The following is a 23,840-nucleotide window of genomic DNA, read 5'->3' as shown; positions in this document are numbered from 1 at the left end:
ACAATCAAGAAAAAAGATAAGATGTGTTTCCATTGTGATTAAATAATGGAGAAAAATATTCTCTTATTGGGAAGTTACATATTTTATCTTTGAATGGACATGTTTACATGTAGCCAAAGTGCAATAGATAAAAACCCGCAGGGTTTCCACTAAATTATACCCATATGAACCCAGATAACAACTCTGAAACTATTTTTAGGCATTCTTCCAAAGACTATTCATTGATGAGGCCTACATCAGGGTAACATGGCCGTGAGCCAAATGTGAGGAGGCTCCTGACCAGCAGTATCTCACAATAGAGAAGCGAGGGTTGACCTCAGGATCCTGAAGACAACTGGTCCTATAGCAACTCCTCATTCTTTTGGGGACAGCAATGTGCTGCGTGCACTATCACCACTCTCCAGTAACCACGTTATCAACTGGTTATCAAGGGCCCATGTATGTGGCAAGAAGGCTATGCTGGGCATTGACTAAGGCTGCTTTAGCTTTCATGAAACACTGTGGACCCTCCAGCTGACTGTGCGTCCTGCTCTGCTTTCAGGTGGGAAATTCTAAACCTGTCTAGGAATCTGCACAGGAGTTACCACCATGGTTCCCTGGCTTTGTTTTATTTCTCTTTCATCCGTGTTTCTTCCCTTCTTAATTTCTGCTGGTTGCACAATACTGTGGGGGAGCTGTAAAGCATCCTTTTGGGGATAAGGTGGAGGATACAAAAAATCTAGAAGAAAATTAAGACACAGTTGATAATAATTACAATACATGCCATGCAAAGTGGATGATGTTCATGTCTTGTGAGAAGTACAAGCTGCTGTGAAAGATCAGGACAAGATGCATCATTTCTGGCTGGGAGAGTGAAGAAGGCTTGAGGGAGAATGAGGTAATTCACCTGAGACCCAGAGTATAGACAAAAGCTCATTTGGAATATTCCTATTCCAAAGGTAACATCTGTTGTTTTTGCCCACCCAGTATCCATTACCCTTTCGGAAAAAAGCTCTCGGATTCTTCTGAGGGGACTATGCCTCATCCATTCTCAGTCTGTCTGTCCGTCCCCTGCACAGGTTCTCATGTCTAGAACATCAGATCATAGATTAATGGAGTTTTACCTAACCAGAACCAATCCAAATCAGTAAGATTCCACGCCATTACTTTCACTGGAAGCATTCGAATGAAAAAATCGCTATATTCAATGGCTGTACTGAGATGCTGGCAAGAGCTGTCTCCACCAGGGGAATCCTTGACGAAGGCCAGAACCCATCCATAAGTGATCTGAGATGCGAGACGGAAAGAGCAAGACCCAGTCCTGACAATATTGTTGGAACCTTTAGATTCCAACACTGTGTTTCAAGTCGCTTCTACCCTTGGACTATTTAGTTACGTGAGTTGATATATTTATGGCCAGTTTGATCTACATTTCTGCCACATGCAACTGGAAGATTTTGACTTATATAGGTGGCAAAAGGAGAACATTCCAGGTAGAAGTAACAGACAAAGCAAATGTCTAGAATTAGTGAAGAGTGAAGCTAGCTTGGAGGTTGTAAGTAGTTACCACTAGTAGGGACATACTGCCCACCCAAAGAGAGCAGCAGCAAACAAGGCTAGAAAGTTCACTGGAAAACCTTAGCGATGAGACTAAGGAAGACATTCTGTGTTGGACATCACCATGGGAGATTCCTAAGTGCAGAAGAAACAGCACTCATCTGGCACCCTCCAAGTAAACTGGTCAATAATATTCAAAAGGGCAAAAGAAGGGAAGAAGAAGCACAGAGACCAACTAGGAGCCCCCCCTCCCTAAACAGCCTAAATGAGATGGGAAATGTGTGAGACTGGAGGATTGCTTTGCTCCAGGTAGTACTCAGAACGCACCAGAGCAGTGCAAGAAGTATTGCTGAGTGAGGGTCCCAGAAGGAAGGGGGAATGGTGGCGCCATGACAGGAATAGGGACATAAGGAAAGGATGATGGGATTTATTATTATTGATTTTTAATTAAAAAAAATTCTTAGGAAACTCTAGTAATGGAAAAAGAAAATTTAAAAACATAAATTTAAAATTCATCAACCTAGAAGAACTATTAATTAACATTTTGATTTTAGTCTTTGCTCTCAGGCCCTATTTCTTTTAAAACCGATGACGATAATGATAATAACAAATACCTCAATGTTTCCTGGCACTTTATTATGTGCCAGGCATTGTTGTGTGCACTTTACATGTATCTACACATTTATAAAAATTTCCATAGTAAAGACTATTGTTATCCCTATTTTGCAGATGAGGAAACTGAGGTACGGAGAGGTGAGATTCTTGCCAAAGGTTACTAGCTAAAAAGCGGCAGAGCCAGTGCGGCTCCAGAGCCTACTACCCCTTATCTACTGGGACATATGCCTCTGGACGTATACATAGAAATTTCACATGAGTAATTAAACAAGACTGGAACTGTTTGCTCCAGCAAGGATAAGACTCAGATGACAAAGTTAGATATAGAAATAAAATTTCCTAACAATGACACTTGTCAAATTCCGGAGGTAAGGGAGATTATAGATTCTTCTGCTGCACGGTGTTGTTATTTCTCGGTTCTGGTTAATGCCACACAGTCTATGCTTAGCAATACAACAATTCGAAAGGACTCCTTAAGAACACACTCACTTGGGACTCCTGTGGCATACAGTAGCTGCAGCTGAGCGCCTTCAGCCCACCCTCAATGGTGGAATCTGGTAGGGTTTGTTCATTGCTTTCAGGAACAACTGTCTGCACACCCAGAAGGGCTGTCTGACCATCTGTGAGGAAACTGGGTCTTCATAGAAGGACAAATAGTTGGTACAGTAGGAAAACCAGCCCCTGGAGGCAGATGACTTATGTAGACCCTGATGATATTTACCCGTGGTTCCCTTATTTCTTAAAATGGGAGTAACAGTATCCATCTTATAGAGTTATCATAGAAAGTGAAAGAAGATAACGTATAACAAATGTCTAGGACTGTGGCTGCTACCTACCTATCAGAGAGTGCATAAGTAGCAGTTTTTTTGGTTATTAAAAGGCATAGCATAGTATGGATTTTGAATTTCCTGGTCAGTGAAATGAGAGGGGGGCATGGGACAGTGGGAGGACTGACATATGATTGCCAATGTTTAATACTTACAAGTATTTATTTTTCTATTTACTGTAACAATGAACCTAGTTTAAGGAAATTATTTACTGCCACCAATTATTTCACAGAAGAAATGGAACTATAATAGTGTCTCACAATAAAAGTTGGCATAACAAAAACTCAACTGTTTGTTCTTACTCTTCTCATTTTACCACTAGTGAAAACTGGTTCTGATTCACAAACTGGCCTTTGGGAACCTTGTGTAGTGTGTCAAAAGAGCAAACTAAGTTCACATCCTAATTCTGTTCCTTTCTACAATATGTGAATCTGGATAGTTTACTTAACTTCACTAAGCACAGTTTGCCTCACCTGTAAAAGGGGGATAGTGATGCCTCCTTCACAGAACTGTTAAGGATAAAATCAGATAAGATGTACAATACATGATTGAGGGTCACATATGCACTTAAGGCTCAAAGAATGCAGCTGGTAGAGTTATCATTGACAGATAAGGTGTTGCATTCAAGTGTCTGACACTAGAGCAAAAATCTATGTTTAAAGGCACAAGCATGTTATTAAAGAGAAACATATAAGCAACTCCAAAGCTATTCTTTGGTTTGGTAAAAACGTTACCCATGCTGGCCTTGAAGAGGTCGTAGGACAAAGGCAATGAGTCAACTGTACAGAAATAAACTTATGCACACAAAAAGAACCAAGATTTTTAAAAATTCTCTTTGTAGCATTATTCTAGCTCAGATCCTAAATCTGTTAAGTCCAAAGAATCTATAGGAAATTCAATCACTTTATTCTGAAAGAATAAGCACTTGATTAAAAGCTGAAGAACAGTTTAGACATTGAGATTTTGCTACACTAATTTCAGGTCAGGGCCCGAGTTTATCACCAGTAAGTAAAATGTGCTGAGAAAGAGGAATGAGAGAACAGAGAAAAGAAAAAGAGATAGAGAAGTAAAAATATAAATGCAAGGTACTATGAGAGAAGATACTTTCTTCAGTGCCTAAAAATTTACAGCAAATTTTCAAGGACATTTTTCTCACAAGTCTTGAAAACTCTATACTGTTGAATTTTCAGACATTGTAGTAAGAACAATTAGAATATAACAGAATGTTTCCTGGGCAAAATGAAGGAGAAAAAAGAATGAGTTTTTAAAAAAAGCTTAAACATCTAGCCATGGCATATGTAAGAATAAACCTGTTTTTATTTTAAAAATTACATTTCTATAGCTTACAGATCTTGCATTGGCATTCCTGGTCTATTTACTCTTAGGAATCATTCTGACAGTGCATTTAAGCTTTCCAGATGTTTTACCTGTCATTCTACCAAAGACTACATTTAAAATGTAAAATATGATAGCAATGATAGGTGGCAATGATTCCCCAGGCTAACTCGAAAGTAACTCTAACAAAAATATGCATATCAGATAATATTGTGTGAATGGTCCTGGCTAGGTCAACTGCATTTAATACTGTCTGCTTTGTTTATACTACAGATTAGTTACAAAAGACCTCTTAGCAGCTCCACGCATAAGGAAGTTAACCATACTCATACTGGAAGGATAAACAAAATTCACTTTCTGAAGGAAACAATCTGAGTGCGTGTGTGTGTGTGTGCGCGCGCACGCGCGCATGTGTGTGAATGGGGGCAAATATAGGTAGTGTCGGGGAGAGAGGAAATTATTTGATTTGAGATTGTCAAACAGAATGGGTGTTAATCATCTATGCCATTCCTTCTTTTCTTTTCCTTTTTCTTTTTTTTTTTTTTTTGAGATGGAGTCTCACTCTGTCACCCAGGCTGGAGTGCAGTGATGTGACCTCGGCTCGCTGCAACCTTTCGCCTCCCAGGCTGAAGTGATTTTCATGCCTCAGCTTCCCAAGTAGCTGGGATTATTAGCTACTGCACCTGGCGAATTTTTTTTGTATTTTTTAGTAGAGGTGAGGTTTCACCATGTTGGCCAGGCTGGTTTCGAACTCCTGGCATCAAGTGATCTGCCTGCCTCGGTCTCCCAAAGTGTTGGGATTACGGGTGTGAGCCACCACACCTGGCTTATGCCATTTTTTTTATAAGCACTTTGCCAGCATATACAATGCAGCGGAGGAGCCAAGGTAAAGTAGTAACATATCCTGTAAATTTTTGTCAGTGGAGCTCTTAAGCTATAACTTTGTTACATTCCTGAGGCATTGTTCATATACTTTTAGAAACAAATGTACAATTAGTGATCAATCATTAACTCTTCAGAGGTAAAAGGAAATAGAATCATGATTTCTTTTTATTCTGACTGAATTTTGAAAATCTTAATTTTCATTTTTACAGATTGCCGACAGTTTGAACGAATAAGACTTTCTGCTCAAAGGTATAGAAAAAATACACACACAGACACACACATAAATACACACATATGAAGAGAGACATTTAAGTCTCCTAGTGATACTGTGACACTTTAAGACAGCCAATTATAATAATCAAATTTTGTGAAAGTCAATGAAAAGACCCATTTATTGGACCCAGTTACAACATAAATGGTCACTTGTTTCATGACCATTTTCATTATTATCTGAATTCCACTGTATTTAAACTCTGTCTACAGAGTTAGGAAATGAACAGTTTGTCCCTGGATGGCTCTCCATCACATGTCAGGATCGAAGAAAAATTACTTTCCAGGAAATCAGCCAGAGCTGTGTTCTGATGTCGAGTTTTACTATTATAATTTTGAATGAACCAATTTTCTCCTTTGTTTTCTTTCTTTTGGTAACATGGCATGCTTACATGAAGAGCAATTTCTTTTCGGTTGAAGCAGTTGCTGTCTCACTAAATTACATATTATATGTCAATGTTTTTGCACACCTTAGTTCTTTTCAAAATTTGTTTGTAATGATTCCATATACCATTTTCTATTTCCCTATTTTTTTTTCCAAACAGGTGGGCATTATAGCCATTTAACTCGTATTTTTTATTAGTTATTTGTTTTTCTGGTGTCCCTTTTAATGACCAGCAAGGACTAACTGGAGTTGTGGAATCTTCAATAGCTGCTTTGAGAATCCGTTAATTTTGTGAATTTCCATAGTACATTTTTATGCATACGTCCTCTACTACACTAAAGTACTCTGAAAGTGAGGATAAAATTGGTTTCATTTCAGGATCCCCGGCCCTGGCATACAGACATTAAATATTTACTAAGGAAATGAATAAGCAGAAGAAAGAAGAGAAGAAAGGAAAGAAGGAAGGAAATAGATGTTTATCTTATTTGAAGTTAATAAAATATTAAAAAGCATGAGTGGTAGATGATTATTTAGTGGCTGCTGGATTTTATAAACTTAATTTTTGTTGCTTACTTATTTTGATTTCTCCAATTCCTTTTGGTCAGTTTTACAGATAATCAAGTGGCCATACGCACAGATCTTGGTATCAATGGAACACTGGTTTCACCTGTCTTCACAACAGACCATACGTAAAATGGCTCAAATGATGAGCCGTGCCAAGCCATTTCTGTTCACTTTACAAATTTAAGAACAATCAAGGTTTAAAAAATTTTAAAAATAACCTGCAATCTTTCTTTTAAATAAAGCAACTCCTTGGTTTGGTATACTACAGAATATTTAACTATTTTCAGTCACACAGAATTTATCATATGAAAATAAGCTTATGTTATATGCAGGTAAATGCTCACACTTCACAAAGAGGACATTCATTTCTTTTATAGATTTGTGAAGGTGACAGATGAGTACAAGATTCAATAACATAACATTTCCTAAATCAGAAACGCTTGTTGACACACGATATAGCTATGCAGTTTTGGTAAGAAGAAGAGTAAGAGAATGTGGCTTTTCTTTCTGAAACACAAGCTCACAAGGGCTGGAAGTGAAAGCCATATGAATGGGAGGGTTGTAACAGGGAAAGCAAAATCAGAGCATTCAATAAAAGGCTTTGGTACATAAACCCTGCCTCTACTTCTCTAGAGAGAGCTTTTCCATGAGATAACCAAAATAATGAAGCAGAGAGGTTGGCAAAATGTTTGTGCCTTTTCAAGTCCAAAATACATTGTATATCATACGCGGCAGTAATTAGAAACTAAAACCACTGCATTTGGTCCCCAGAAAACCTGCCACGTTATGGCATTGGTTGAAAATATCTGAATATCCTGGCTGATACCAAGATCCCAGCTGTGCCTAGTGAAAAACATTGTCATGCATATGAACAGGTGGACTTAAGCATACCCTTGGTTCAGATGTAGCAAGGTGATGTCCATCTGGGAATTTTTATTTCTGTTCATACTCTAGACACATCCCAAAAGAAGATGAGTCAGTGATTGACTGAGTTTGCCTACAAAGAGAACCCCATGTAGATTTCACCAGAGTAATTTTCTTCCGTAGGCTTCTGAAACAACCACGTTATTATGATTTCCCTACAGAAAGCCCAGTCAAAGGTTGCAGAAGTTGTTTGTGCTTCACCCTCTCTAAATGACTTGCAAATTTATTCAAACACAATATGAGAAGATGCTTTATTTGTTGAAATAACTGTCTGCAGTGTCCCGCACTAAAGGGTGAGGTAGATCAAGCAGAAACATGGACAGAAATACATTGGTTTCGAAACCCATAAATCCTTATTTGAATCTGCCAACCTGAAAGCCACGTAGAGCCCGCATAAACTATTTTTCCTAAATGCTACATCTGATTAAGCCATACCATTAAATGACAGCTGAACTTTAACATTAATATGATATTATTTAAATAACCACATCATTTTTTTTACACTAAAAATGATGAATGATTTCTGGACAGCTCAATTGACATAAAGCAGGAGGACTCTTTAATGAGATTTGACAAAATGGAGACATATGCAGAATATTCGTTACAGCTCACGACGCAGGAGCCCTCCCAGGGAAGCAACAGAGGTTTTTCCCTCCCCTTCCTTTCTTTTTTATTGTCTATAGGCACTGAAGCATTCCTTTCAATTGCTACTACCCTTCTCTCTGAATTCTGAGTTTTTCTTAGGCCATTTACATAGTACTCTTAATCACAGAATTTGATGGCTTATGATTCTGAGTTGGGAGTCGGGTTCAAGGAAATGAGGGGAAATGTCACATTATACTAGCCTTGGCTGGAAATGTCCCAGGAACTTTAGGCTTGCTACTGGTCAGGCTGCTTAGAAAATGTTATCAGCCTTGAAGACCAAACCACTAGACATTTGATTGGTTCTTATGCAATAAGTCTGTAACACGGCAAACATACTTTTAGCAAACTATTGTATATGGATATGTGATCAGACAAGACTTTAGTTATTTTTAGATGGTTGTCTCTATAGTATCAACTATAAAGATTTCCTTCTTAAAAATTCCAGTTAAGCCATTCCAGAGGCCATTCTCAATGTTTCTCGTTCACTTTTCTATCCACAGTTCCAAACTGACAGTCGTGCTAGATGATATTTTTATGTGGTAGATTCTGAATGTGAAATAATTTCGTGCTGAATGTACTTATAAGAACATTACCTACATTCATTCATCTATTTTCTCATACTATTTAGCATATTTTCCATCAATCAAGGTAGAGTTACACATATAAAACATGAACATTTGTTTCTTAGCACATATTATTCAGATAATCTTGACGTTTTATAAATCATCTTTAAGTATATACATAAAACGGAAATGTTTCCCCAAACAGCGTCACTTAAAGAAATGAAAACAAGGCAACAGAGAGCAAAGCTAATGGCAAATGTGCTCCTGAAAATGGTAGGTCTGCATTCCCTCCATAAGAAGAAGGCCATCGAAATAGAAAATAAAATCAGCCTGCTGCTGCCCATGGGGCCTTCCTCAGGCTATGAAAAAATACTTCATGTCTAACCCTAATTTTTTCCATAGCTTGAGGTTACCCCCCTAGCTCAAGCCTTCTCTCTAATCTGTGTTAGTATGTGTCCCTGTCCAAACAAGAGTTAACATCAGTGCTCTGTTATTTCAAATGGGTCCTGCACAGGGTACTAAGAGCAGAAGCTCAAAAGCATGTAATATGCCCCATTGCAATTGAATGAAAACATAGTATTTTAAAAAAACACACAGAGAGAAAGATATGTCCCTACCTTGCTCTTACCTTCGCAACATCCCTGTCAGAATCCTGGAGCTTTTTCCCAAATTAGCATCTGTTTCCCGAAGCTACAAGAAGAAACAAAACAAAACAGAAGTTCATGCAATTAGATTATTTCTAAAGTGCATGGCAAGCGACAATTTATTTCATGATAGAAAATCCAAACAATAAAAATGTTCAAATACACAAAAATAAATACATTCTGACAGCTACACAAACTTGGAAAATTCTTAAATTTGGAGAATGACACGTGAGAGGTAATCTTGGGAGCTTTAAGCTGGATACTAGAACTGGACATAAAAGCAAAGCACAGGCTGAAAAAGTTTCATATACATTTGGTAATTCATCTCCAGCTTATGAATGTGCAAAGTCCTAAAAACATATAAACAAAAATAAAATGAAGTGAGGAAAGATGACCACCAATAATTCTATAGTTTTCACTCTAAAAGATGAACATACTCCAAAATCTCCCTCAGTGACCTTCTCCTCTATAAGAAGTAAATAAAATACCTACCTGGGAACATTCTGGAATGGGGACATAGAGTCAGCTGCTATTTGCTCCATCTCACCCTCTTCCTTTTCCTTTCCACAGACCTTATACCCTCTTTCACCTTACACACATATATCTACCTAATTGCTATTGTTTATGTCCCAATGCCTTTCATTTATGTCTTCATTTACTGAATATGTGAAAAAACTGTATCAATTGTACTTACTCTTTCACGTGCTCGCTGTATCTTTTCTCTGTCATGACTAAGGTTTTCCAACATCTCCTGACCAATTTGCTCTACGGAAAAGAAAATTTGAGTGAGGAAAAATGACTTGGAGTGCATATGAGAGTAAATCTCAGAAATACTAAAATGGCATAAAATGTTAAAGTTGCATGCATGCATTATACATCAGACACATATTTCAATTCATGTATTTGAAAAATATAAACAGTATTTGATAAATTTATCTATTTATCTTAGGCATAATTAGATATTTGACCTATAGAACATAACCAACATGAAAATAATGATTTAGAGATGATGTCTTGTCCAGGCCACTCCAGCAAATATCAGCAAAGGTGGAGAAGATCTGAGGTCCATTAGTCTATTTTGTCATCATGGAATTTAGCTGTTGGTTTTTACAGGTTACTAGTAATGTTAATGATTCTGCTCTCCCTTTCCCCTTTCATTTTGCATATGTATGTCAGACTCCATTTAGAACAATTTTAATTTTAGTGTATTCACCCTGCATAAGTAATCCTCATATGCTCACCTACTGTAGCTTATTGGTAGTGAACTATCTCTAGGCTTTTGCTCTCTTCAAGGCAAGGGCTCATTTAACGTGTTACCAGTGGCTGTAGGTACTTGAGTCAACTCAAGGTGAGGTGCATTTCTTCTCAAGTAGTTGAAGAGAGCTCATGCTGGAGACAGTGTTTTCACCCCAGAACTTTGAAACCCTTATACTGTTATAGGCAATTTAGAACATTCTTTAAAAAGTCACATTGCTGAGTTCTAATGAGGTTTTCTCTTGCCATGATCATCTTATTTGGTTGACACTAGGCAGTCTCTTCTCCAGCCGTAGACCCTTTTAGAAGACAGTAGGTATGGCTTGACATCATAAATAACCAGCTGCCTTGAATAAATCGTTTTCAGACTCATTCCCCATTACCTGGGAGGTGCCTTACTCCATACTAGAAGGATGCCTCTCTTATAATCTTGGCAATATCTGACTACCTTGTTCTACATCTCTCTCTCCTTTTCCCTCTTGCATTGTCTCTTTACTCATACCTATAACAACAATCATCTCTGGCTTATAAACATATAAGCATTCAAACAAGCATCTATTATAATAATAACAAGTAATTTAATGATGTTAGTAAGAAGTCACCATGGTAGTTATTTGGCTCATATATGCACACTGCTAGACTTTTTTTTTTAAAGGACACCCTAAAAATATAGAGCAGTAGTTAGGCCACATTGAGAGCTTTGGCTGTGAACTCACACTGCCTGACCCAAAATCCCAGTGCTGGCCCTTACTAGCTGTGTGGCTAACTTCACTGTGCCTCAGTTTATCCATAAATGGGTACAATAATAATAATAGTACTATATCATGAGATTGTTGTAAGAGTTCAATAAGGTAATTCAGTTACAATATTTAGCACAGTGACTAGCCTACAACAATAATAAGCATTTATTGAATGATAATTGATTGATATAAGAACATCACTGGACTACTATGATTTTGCCACTCTCCTATCTTAGTCTTGTTGTAGCCCATTTGAGCTAAAATCTTATTCACAGGATAAAATATCTGTCCTGCCTTTCTCACCAAGTTGATGTTATGATCCAATGAGGTAGCCTAAGTAAAAATGTTGTGGAAGCTATAGGGTACCATATAAAGGCATGTCATGATACAGTATGTAAGATTCAGAGCATTCAACAAAGAATCATTGAATCCCCACTGTGTGCCAGGTACAGGTGCCAGGGATATGGCCAGGAATCAACATCAAGTGTTTGCACTCATGGAGCTTCCATGCCAGCACTGAGGAACAAGCAGTTAAAGAAGTGTTACAGAAGAGTTACAGACAAGTGTTAACAGAAGAATTTGTGTTTCAAAGCACATCAGAAAAAGCACTGCATATTCCTTTCATGGCAGAAAATCCAACTCATAGAAAACAGTTACATACACTATCATAAATATATTTTTGACAGCATACAAATTCTTAACATTCTTTCCCAGTATAGTAGCTCCTCTTAGACTTATTCCAGCTCTTTATTATTAACCCCATACAATTTATCCTTAAGGTAAAATTGGGTAAGATATGTGGCTCCTAGTGGAAGCATCACAGCAGTGGAAGATGATATCAATAATGGAGAAGGAGGAAACAACTGAAGTTGAATTTTTTTCTTTTCTTGCACAACAATATTCAAATTTGTCATACTGTTATTACTATTCCATTGGATTTCTTTTATCAACATAATATAGCAATTATAATTCATTTTTTCACTTAAAACTTTTAATATATATGAGCACCATGAACACTGCAATTATTTCAGCAAAATACTATTTATATCAGATTTTCTCCTGTTCAGATTGATGGTATTATAACATGTAATCTAAAATGAAGAGGAAATACGTTATTACTATTGTGTCTGTGGCCAGTATCATATCCCCTGTAAGTATCTGTGGAAAGAATGAAGAAATAAAAGAATTAAATAAAGTATGCATAAAGTTTGCGACCTATTCTTGCTCTTAAAGCCCATCCAGTGTAGCATTGGAGAAGTCAACATCAGAAAGCAGGTAATAGATTCATCCTTCTATCAGGTTCGCCGAGGGGAAAACTCTACTCTGAGTGGACCTACAGTCTGCTACTGAAGGAATCAACAAACAGGAAGTAAAGATTTGGGTCTTTTCAGGAGTTATAAACCACTCCCACAATCTCCTTGCCTCCCTAGACATAGCTCAGCATCCCAAGTACTAACTCCATCTAGCAAGAGAAGAGATATTGGCAAGAGCGTATGCATCCCGGTCGTAACACCCAAATGTCATGCACTGTTGGAAACACAATTCTTTTTTCATTTCTAACTTGCTATCTTCCATTTTAATGCTCTAATATAGAAAATTTCAGGCCAAATATATCACAATGATTACTATTACGGAATGAAAAAAAATTCATGTGAATAAACTTATGTGGGCTTTTTTTTTTTTTCCCCCACTGTGGGGCCCACTCTTCTAGTTGAACCAAAACAAAACAAGACAACAAATTAGAGGGGATTTTTTAAATATAGACTATCTTGGGTTTAGCGATTATTTCATTAAATAATTAGAAACATCGTTAGGTTTATTTTTCTTGAATAATTTAACTGAAGATGTAAGCATTCACCAAAAACACCATAATAGAAAGAACACAAGCTCAGAGGCCTAAGCCAATGGCAGATGTGATATTTAAATTTTCAGTTCTTTAACTTCCATAGGGCCTTAAGAATGGAACAGCCATACTGCTGCTCTTGAAATAATTTGAGAAATCATAAATTTTATAAATATTATACTTGTTGACTGCGAGGGTCTTCTTGAGATTAAGAAACAATGGGAAGCATAACAAGGCAATGAAAACTGATGGTGTATGCTGGAATTCTCTATGTCAGTATGAGCATGATAAACGAATTCCTGGAAGGAAGAGCTCCTTCCTCTACTTCTCTCCTTTCCACAGTGGTCCTGGGAATCATCCTGGGAGTAGAGCTCTCAAACACATAAAATGAATTTTCATTTTTACAGTTACCCAGAATCAATCATATCCTTGATCCATAGCCCCTTTTTATAGAGAAACACACGTGCAAAAGGGTTTTTGGCTAACATTTCCTTTACTTTTCAATCTTTTGGAAGATATACACAATAGCCATTGAATACTTTCCTGCCTCATAAAGAAATTGAGAAAGAATCAGGTAACTTCAAATCTAGCAAGATACTTCCTAAAGGACTGGCCTGACATCATGAAAATAAGATTTAGTTTGAAGAGCTTATATCACTGAAAGCATCATGTCTCTCCACTCATAAAATAATAATACCATCTGAACAACAGTATAAGTCTAACATAGGACTAACATGAACTCTTTTTTTTAAAAAAAATTTATAAGACCTGTATTTCGGAGGTGAGCAGATCAAAATATTCTCTATAAGAAGTTAGGACTGACTGAAGCTCACATCATGTTATAAACTGGCTGAAAGGGAACGAGCCTCAAATCTAATTCACCAGGAAATGTCCCATTTGATACATTCAAAACATTTTTAAAAATTAGTCATTTGGAATATGCAGGACACTCTCCAGAAGACAGTGATTATTCCTCAGCACACCTATATTTATTTTTCTTTTCATAAACTTTGTTAAGAATGTGGTATCCAGCGAATTATTTTAAAAAGTGAAAACAGCAAGTTGGGTCTTTAAAGAACTAAGAGAAGGTAAGGTTATCTTCTGGTACTTGAAAACTTCACCAACAATTTTAGTAGCAGATAAAAGACATTCACAGTTACACAACTATTGTTTGCATATAAGGACTTTTGTGAAGTGCAGGAGTTCTGCAAAAGAGCTATGCTGAAGCGTGTGTTTTCATATATGTATTGCAGAACACCAACCAGATGAAAAACCTTGAAGTAATATTTCCTAACAATTTGGAGCACTGAATTTTGGACATGACTTGGGAACTTCTGGCCACGGAGTCTAATGAAGGTAGAAAACGTGCTGCTTCAGGAAGCAGAGGGATTGACACACAGCTTTCTCAGGAGGGATCTGATCATGGAGTGGTTGGGTCAGTCACTCTTTGGCATTTAGCATAGCTTCCTGGGCACTGACTCAGCTATCATGCCCTGAATAGCTAGGTTATCCTCTGTATTGATGTTACTCAGGCATGAAGAGCCTTTTGAATTTCTGATATCTGGAAAAATATCACAATGGAAAAGAGAGTTCTTTCAACATCTTTCATTATTTGACAACCTAAGACATGTGAGGAACTTCTGCTTCCAGTTACGATGTAGAAAGATGCCACAGAAAGATGCAAATTACCATTCCCATGGAAACAAGAAAAACCCAGACAAAATAATTACTAAACTTTTCTGGAGGAAGTAAGTAGATGCAAAGAAGCTCTGATGAATTCTAGAGAGAAACAAGTACTTTGTGTAGGAGCAAACAGTTGTGGCAACTTTGATACCAACTTCGATATAGGGCAAGTACCTGCTCTGAGAATGAGCCTGCCATAGATAGGATTTATAGGGATGAGAGAAATCAGTCAAACATTAAATGATGATGTAGGCTTACAAAACAGAACGGAATCTAGATGAACTCTAAACACAAAAACAAATTGCTTGGTCTGATATTTCTCCCCAAATCTTCAAATTTGCCAAATAAGAGGGAATAAAGAAGGAGCTCGTCAGTAAAGAGAAATCACATATTCCCACACATTCTTGTGTGCTTATATTTTAAGACGCCGTCAGAGTTGAGTCTAAAGGTGAACCCAAAAATATCTGCAACTGCAGATCAACCAACTCCAGCTCAAACATTGACAATATGTTTTGTTTGTTTGTTTGTTTGTTTGTTTGTAAGAAGAAGCATAAACACAGGTTGGGAGTGCACTAATCACGGATGAATCCAATCTTATTACAGCTTCAGCTCAGCACCAACTCAACTTTTGGGAGAATCGGCTCCTTCTATTATCTAAATACAAGACAGTGTCAAATGTTTTCGGAAAAAAACAAACCCAGGATGTTATATTTCAGATTCCCTTGTTCTTTTTTATACAGTGTGTGGAATACTATAAAATTGTGACATGCAAAAAAACAGGAAAAAAGAATAATCAAGAGACAATACAGTCTATATGAGTATCCCAATAGATCCTAGTCACTACAGTTAGCACATAAAGATTTTAGAACTATTATAATTGTGTTAAAGAATTTATAGGAAAAGGTAAACATAATCGGTGAAAATACGAGTTTATCAAGAAACAAATGGAAATTCTAAAAAGAAACCAAATAAAATTGTAGAATAAAAATATAACATTTGAAATTAATTCACTAGGTATACCACATAGAATATCCTTCGCTATAGAATAAAGGATCACTGAACATGAACATAGTTAATAGAAATTATCCAAACTGAAGGAGGAAAAAAAGTTAAAAAAATGAACATAGCATCAATAACTTGTGAGGTTATAACAAGTGGTCTTACATACATGTTATTAGACTCCCAGAAAAAGAGATTATTAGAGACAAAAAAACGGTATGAATAAATATCTGAAGAACTAACAGTCAAACTTTTCCAATCTGTATTTTTGTAAAAAGCCGATCCACAGATCAAAGAAGTTTAACAACCTCTGAGCAAGAGAAATAAATAAAAACCACACCTAGTCATGTCACAGTCCAATTTCTGAAAACTAAAGATAAATTTAAAATCTTGGCTGGGTGCAGTGGCTCATGCCTGTAATCCCAGCAGTTTGGGAGGCCAAGGCAGGTGGATCACCTGAGGTCAGGAGTTCAAGACCAGCCTGGTCAACATGGCGAAACACTGTATCTACTAAAAATGCAAAAATTAGCTGGGTGTGGTAGTGGGTGCTGTAGTCCCAGCTACTCTACTCAGGAGACTGAGGCAGGAGAATTACTTGAACCTGCGAGGTGGTGGTTGCAGTGAGTCGAGATTGTGCCACTGCACTCCAGCCTGGGTGACAGAGCTAGACTTCCTCTCAAAAAAAAAAAAAAAAAAAAACTTAACAGCAGAAAAAAAAGATACATTCAGGAGAACAATAATAAGAATGAAGCCTGAATTTTCATCAGAAACAATACAAACACACAATGGAACAACTTTCCAAGGTGCTAAAAGAAAAAATAAAAGGTCATTCTATTATTCCACGTCCAGCAATAATAGCCTTCAAAAATTAAGATGAAATAAAAATACTCTTTGATAACCAAAAAATATTACCCAGCAGAACTAAGCTGCAGGTAATGTTAAGGGAAATAATTCAGGCTGAAGGCAAATGACACTAGATGGAAACCTGAATGTACAAGAAAGAATGATGAACATCAGAAATGGTAAATCTGTGGATAAGTATAAAAGCAGGCCAGGTGCGTGGCTCATGCCTGTAATCTCAGCACTTTGGGAGGTTGAGGTGGGTGAATCACTTGAGGACAGGAGTTCTGGATCAGCCTGGCCAACATGGCAAAACCCTGTCTCTACTAAAAATACAAAAATTAGCCAGGTGATGGTATGTGCCTATAATCTCAGCACTTTAGGAGGCCGAGGAGGGCGGATCACTTGAGGTCAGAAGTTCGAGACCAACCTGGCCAACTTGGTGAAACCCCATCTCTAGCAAAAAGTACAAAAACTTAGCCGTGTGTGGTGGCACATGCCTGTAGTCCCAGCTACTTGGGAGGCTGAGGTGGGAGAATCACTTGAACCCAGGAGGCGGAGGTTGCAGTGAGGCAAGATCATGCCACTGCACTCCGGCCTGGGTGACAGACTGAGACCCTGTCTCAAAAATAAATAAATAAGTAAATAAAAATAAAAACATTTCTTTTTCTCTTATATTCTTTCAAAGTAACCGTTTAAAATAAAAATAGTGATAACATGCAGAAGTGAAATGTATGAAAACTAGCACAAAAGATGAAGAGGAGGTAAACAGAAGTATTCTGTTGACTGGCTCTTGAGTTTTATGTAAAGTAGCATATTTATTTAAGGTAGGCTGTAACAAATTAGGGATAAAAACCTTAATTTCTGAGTTTCTTTCTGCAATATTACACAGTACCCACTAGCCACATGGGGCTATTTAAATTTCAATTAATAAAATAAAATAAGACTTTAGTTCCTCAGTAGCACTATCCACATTTCAAGTGCTCAGTACCTACATGTGGTTAGCGGTCACTGTATTGGAGAATGCAGAAATACAACCAACTCTAAAATGATCTCCAAATTCCTTTGTCTTTAAGGCAAACTGAAAGAAATCAAGAAGTATTCACTTGGGGTTTAATTTAGGTAAAACATTCCCTTTCTCTGGGCCTCAGTTTCCTTAAATGTAAAATGAGACTCTTAGACTAGATGATCTTTAGTGCCACTTGGCTTTAAAATATTAGAACTTGGGCCGGGCATGGTGGCTCACGCCTGTAATCCCAGCACTTTGGGAGGCCGAGGAGGGCGGATCACAAGGTCAAGAGATCGAGATCATCCTGGCCAACAGGGTGAAACCCCTCTCTACTAGAAACACAAAAATTAGCTGGGCATGGTGGCGTGCGCCTGTAGTTCCAGCTACTCAGGAGGCTGAGGCAGGAGAATCGCTTGAACCTGGGAGGCAGAGGTTGCAGTGTGCCGAGATCATGCCACCGCACTCCAACCTGGGTGACAGAGCGAGACTCTGTCTCAAAAACAACAACAACAACAACAAATTAGAATTCAGTGACTCCAGAGAGCATATAAGAAAACTAGAGCACGGGGCCAAATAAGGCCCACAGATGTATTCCCATCCTGCCCCCAGAATAACGTTTTAAAAAACCCAAAACAATAGAAATTTAAATGCTTTTAAGCAGATCATATTGTTTCCATTTTGCCTAAGTCCCCAACATTAGACTGCTTCATACAGTAGCCTCCTTGGCCTCTGAGGACATTAGCATTTACTATGTACCATAAAATATTTACAGGCACTTGATGACATTATTTTAAAAAATTATACATTCATCTCAACTGAAGGTAAACTTAACATATTCTTAAAGAAATATAGCTAAAGACCATGCAGGGCCTATGCACGCGCGTGCGCGTGTGTGTGTGTGTGTCTGCGTGCGTGTATGTTTGTGTTTAAGCAATTATGTTTTAACACTACCTTCTCAGTAGCTGAGTATGTATTCTATTTTGCTTTAAGATGATCAAATCTATCATTAAGCAATTAAAAAAATCATCAGTGCTACTTTCATCAAAGTCATAGTAGCAGAACCTCCCCTTAGTTACCTGGTTTGCTGCAGATAATTAACAAACACTATTCCCAGAGCCCTCAGACATCAGTCAATGAAGCTGTGCTACCAGTAACGATGCTCTGGAATGAGCAGGTACTATGTAAATTGAGGTTGTTAAACAAAAGGAACCATGTTAATTACAGCTCCATTCAAAAATGAGAATGAATCCATTCTATCCTATAAAATGAGACTTGAGCAGCAGGAAGGACATCCCTTTTTCACAATTCAATAAAGCCTGTAAAAAGCCAGGAGATGAAGCAGCAGAAAACCTGAATGGGCAAAACTGTCAAAACACATTCCAAAGGCTCACTTGTGGAATTTACCAAACACGTATTTACTTAACAGACAAGGGAGACGTGTTCAGCGTCATCCAGCTCTCCAGGGTGAATGAATTACTCATTCTAAAAAAACAAAAAGTGCTTAAAGAATTGAGAGGTGATTAGAAAGTAATTAGAAAGGCTTCTTAGAAATCATTCTGAGCCGAGTTAATCACTATTTGTACTCTTTGTGAACTCTGCACACATTGCTATCACTAAATGTATAGCATTTTAATTACATGTTTGAGAAGTCACTATTGGGTGGACCACAGGACTTACGTGGCTAGCAAACATCTTTTGCTTTTATGAAAGACTATTCTAAGCATTTTTGAACCAGTTGGCAATCACAGGAAAAATTTGTTTAAACAGGAGGTTTCATATAAAATGATAAACTTCTAGTTTCTTTTGAAATTTGGAATATCTGGCAACAGTGAGTCCCCATTCCCACTTGGTAAACACAGGCTGGAACTGAGTTATAGCTTCTTTCTTTAGAACAGCCAGGTACTATCCAGTTTGCCACCTCCCCACTGGCCTGTTTCACTCATTTCTGTTCCCTGCTTGGCTGCCGTAGGATTAGATGTTTGTGACTCTTTGCTTATATATTCTTCTCTAATAGACTGTAAATGACTTTAAAGATGAGGCCATGTCTCATTCCTCTCAGTATATGCCGCATTTTAAGAGGCAGTACAGGACATATGCAGGTGCTCAGGAAATTTTTGTTCACTGGAACCATTCAACTTAAAAATATGGTCAAGTCCTTTATAAATTTGTAACAATAGAATCAAAGATTTTTAGAACAAATGTGGGCTGTAAAAGTAATGGCACAAATGAGCTGGGTGTGGTAGCTCATGCTTGTAATACCGGTGCTTTGGGAGGCTCAGCTGGGAGGATCACTTGAGGCCAGGAGTTTGAGACCATCCTGAGCAACATAGTGAGATCACCATCTCTTAAAAAAGTAAAAATTAGCTGGGCGTGGTGGGGCATGCCTGTGGTATCAGCTTCTTGGGAGGCTAAGGCGGGAAGATCACTTGAGGTTAGGAGATTGAGGCTGCAGTGAGCTATGACTGTGCCACTGCACTCCAGCCTGGGTGACAGAGTGAGACCCTGTCTCTGGGAAAAATAAATAAATAAAGTAATAGAACAAATGAGCAAACTAGAATGCAGGAAGTTGGGAGGTGGAGATCTCCAAGATCACCCAGATCATGTTGCTCATTACCCACAGAGCTGCAACCATGATCCTAAGTCTCCCAACTCCTAGGCCTTTGATCTTTGCATTAACAACAACAAAAACGAATTAAAAAGAAAACAAACATGCATTACAATGTGGAGGACAAGGCATCCTAATACTACACATCTTTTTGTTGTTCTGTTTTAAGGCATATATATACACACACAAACACACACACACACACAATATAGTGTTCTTTGATATATAAAAGTTTTTAACTTTCATAAAGTCTAATCTGTTTTCTTCTTCTGTTGCTTTGTGCTTTGGTGTCATACCTAAGTATCCATTGCCAACTTCATGCCAATGAAGATTTGTCCCTGTATTTTCTTCTAAGAGTTTTATAGTTTTAGTTCTTAGACTTGGGTCTTCGATCCATTTTGATTTAATTTTTGTATATTATATATGTGTGAGGTAGGGGATGGCAAGGAGTAATTTTTGATTCATACAAAATATTTAGAACTCATCTGGAAGAAGTTACTGCCTTCTTATACCTCTTATATTAAAAAAAATCTAATTTGTACCCCAACTCAAAGCCTGGACAAATGTTTACACTGACTCATAAATTTAAAATGTTATGTTTTATATAGTATTTTTATATATCTTGACTCTTCTGAGCACACAGAAAGAAAGAAGATACCTGGGTTAAAATAGGAGAAGAAAGTATAGATATACTGAATAAATGGAAAAAGTAAAGTTATTAAGCCTGAAAAATATAGGACAATGGATACAGGAAGAGAACAGGCCTTACACATACATGCTGCTATATTTGAGCTGAAAGAAACACAAAGTTTTTACCTAAAGGATTGTATTAGTTTGTTCTCACATTCCTATAAAGTAAACCCCTGAGACAGAAAAGGGGTTTAACTGTCTCACAGTTCTGCAGGCTGAACAGGAAGCATAGTGGCTTCTTCTTCCAGGGAGGCCTCAGGGAGCTTTCAGTCATGACGGAAAGCGAAGGGTGGGCGGGCATGGCTTACAGGGCAGGAGCAGGACCAAGAGAGTGAGGGGAAGGTGCTACCCACTTTTAAACAACCTGATGTCGCGATAACTAACTCCCTCGCTATCATGAGAATGGCATTGAGGGGATGGCACTAAACCATGAGAAACCACCTCCATCATCCAATCACCTCCCACCAGGGCCCACCTCCAACTCGGAGGATTAAAATTTGGACATAAGATTTTGTGGGGACAAAGATCCAAACCATATCAAGGATGATCAAGTTTTAAGAAATATCCCGCAGGAAATCATGAGAAGGGAAAATTGAGAAAGTGAGAAGACTGACATAAAGGTGGCTTAAAATTCAAGAAATAAAGTTTGTAGGCTGGGTGTGGTGGCTCATGCCTATAATCTCAGCACTTTGGGAGGCCGAGGCAGATCAAGGATCACTTGAGCCCAGGAGTTTGAGATGAGCCTGGGCAATGCAATGCAGGGAAACCCTGTCTCAAAAAAAAAAAAAAAAAAAAAAATTATCTGGGTGTGGTATGCTCCTGTATTCCCAGTTACTCAGAAGGCTGAGGCCAGAGGATTGCTTGAGCCCAAGGGTTCTAGGCCAGCCTGGGTGACAGAGAAAGACCCTGTTTAAAAAAAAAAAAAAAAAAAAGGTTTGGGAAGAAAAATTCAAAGAGATAAGTCAGTTTATTGAATTTTTCAACAAAATGTTATTTCTTCTATTCATTTATCTAACCCTGAGAATAAGGTCAACAAACACATGCCATACATGCCACAGCTCCTAAACACCAAACAGCTGGCAGGTATTGTCAATCAATCACAGTGCCCTGAACACACCTTGCAACAAACCCTCTCCTCGAAACACCCCAGGCAGTCAACTCGGGTTGGCACAGGGGATAAGACCCACTTGCTATCCTGGACCTATGGCACCGGGACCTTTTCTCAATTGACAACAGAAACTTGACAAATGGTAATTTTTTGAGTTCTTCACTTTTCAGCTTCCAGCTAGTGCTCTCATTCTCAGATTTTCTGCATGTATTTGCTTTAAAGGCCTGAGTGAGAGGACTGAAATTTGAAGGTCACAGACTCTGGCAAAGATTCTCATTTGCTAGTGTGCACTAGAATCATCTAGGAAGCTTTTAATAAACACTGTTGTGTAGCCCTTATTGTAGGCTGACTAATTGCCTAGATATGGGGCACAGATAGGCACACTTTAAAAAATGTCTGTCAGTCATGTCAAACTCCTTCTTATGGGCCACTGGCCTTCATTCTTCAACATTCTGTAGTCCAAAATACCTGGCCCTGGGACAGATCTTTACCCCTTTAGCTCTGGGCCTTTGGTACTCATAAGATTTACTTAAATTATGAAACAAGGAATACATCTATACAGTTGTAGTCAGGCTGATTTCAAGAATAGGATTCATCACGTTTCTTAGCTTGTCTTATTCAAAGACCACCAACACACTTCCTCCCCTTCCTAATAAAAAACACTTTTTTTTTTTTGACAGTACAAGGCAGAATTCATTTTGTACTAGTAATTGAGGCAAGCTATGCAATCCAACATGTTTGTTTGGTCTGAATCCTAGGAAGCCCTGGGTGAGTTTAATCCTTGATTGTTAAAGCATTTCTCTAGGTCTTCATGGAGCCCTGCTACCCCTGCCCCACCCCACCACATATACACACACCTTCTCTTTACTCCTTGGTTTCTATCCTTTGTTCTGGGTTAATTTTTTCTGCTCTTGATATACCTACTTGATCATCTATAGTAAGATACTTCAAATCTTTTCTGTGGAAGTGGATAATGAATAAATCAATTGATAAATGAAAGGGCCAGATTGTTAAAACACAGATTGCTGGGCCGTGAATCCACAATTTCTAATTCAGTACGGGTGTGTATGGGGGGTGGAGGGACAAGAAGTTGCATTTCTATCAAGTATCCAGATGCTGCTGGTGATGCTGGTTCCCTAAGACTATGTTTTGAGAACCACTGTTTTACTGTAAGGGTTGGCAATCTAGGGCAGTTTAGCCAAATCCAGCCTGTGGCCTGTTTTTGTAAATAAAGTTTTATTCACACACACGTGTAAGCCAGAGCAATCTACAGAGGAAGTGGGAGAATTTATGCTATATCATGAGGCAGACAAAAACTTTAATGTAGAAGACACTTGCATTTTTAGACAGTGACATTTTGAGAGGTGGAAACTAACAAAACTCAAGACAAGGGAACTAGTGAACAAATGGAGAAAAGTATAAAAAGAATGGGGCCGGGCGCGGTGGCTCACGCCTGTAATCCCAGTACTTTGGGAGGCCGAGGCAGGAGGATCACCAGGTCAGGAGATCGAGCCCACGGTGAAACCCCGTCTCTACTAAAAATACAAAAAAATTAGCCGGGTGTGGTGGTGGGTGCCTGTAGTCCCAGCTACTCGGGAGGCTGAGGCAGGAGAATGGCGTGAACCCAGGAGGTGGAGCTTGCAGTGAGTCGAGACTGTGCCAATGCACTCCAGCCTCGGTGACAGTTAGACTCGGTCTCAAAAAATAAATAAATAAATAAATAAAAAGAAAAAGAATGGATGACTGTGGGGCATATTCTGAAAGAGTTTTAAGGTGATACGATCTTAATATTATTTCTAAATTTGAGATGTATGCGTGGTAAAAGATCTAAACTGAGCTCAAATTATTGTCCTGTAAAAAAATAAAAGGAGATAAG

General features: G+C 38.1%; 1 protein-coding gene across 8 annotated transcripts in view; it reads right to left on the bottom strand.

Annotated features, from left to right (window-relative positions):
• The window catches only part of VTI1A (vesicle transport through interaction with t-SNAREs 1A), a 408,381-nt gene that overhangs the window by 177,193 nt on the left and 207,348 nt on the right, over positions 1–23,840 (bottom strand). For 5 of the 8 annotated variants that reach the window (NM_001365711.1, NM_001318203.2, NM_145206.4 and 2 more), the window contains 2 exons: positions 9,888–9,958; positions 9,178–9,239 (listed from right to left, as the gene is read on the bottom strand). In NM_001365711.1, coding sequence (NP_001352640.1) covers positions 9,178–9,239; positions 9,888–9,958 — 133 coding nt within the window. Of the gene's footprint in view, positions 1–9,166; positions 9,240–9,887; positions 9,959–23,840 lie in introns of all 8 variants that reach the window. The other 3 variants (NM_001365713.1, NM_001365712.1, NM_001318205.2) reach the window with 1 other exon arrangement.

This window comes from Homo sapiens, chromosome 10 (genome assembly GCF_000001405.40).
Source record: "Homo sapiens chromosome 10, GRCh38.p14 Primary Assembly".
Lineage (NCBI taxonomy): Eukaryota > Metazoa > Chordata > Mammalia > Primates > Hominidae > Homo > Homo sapiens.
Note: the sequence above shows the minus strand (reverse complement) of the source record. Positions and strands in the feature narration are given on the sequence as shown.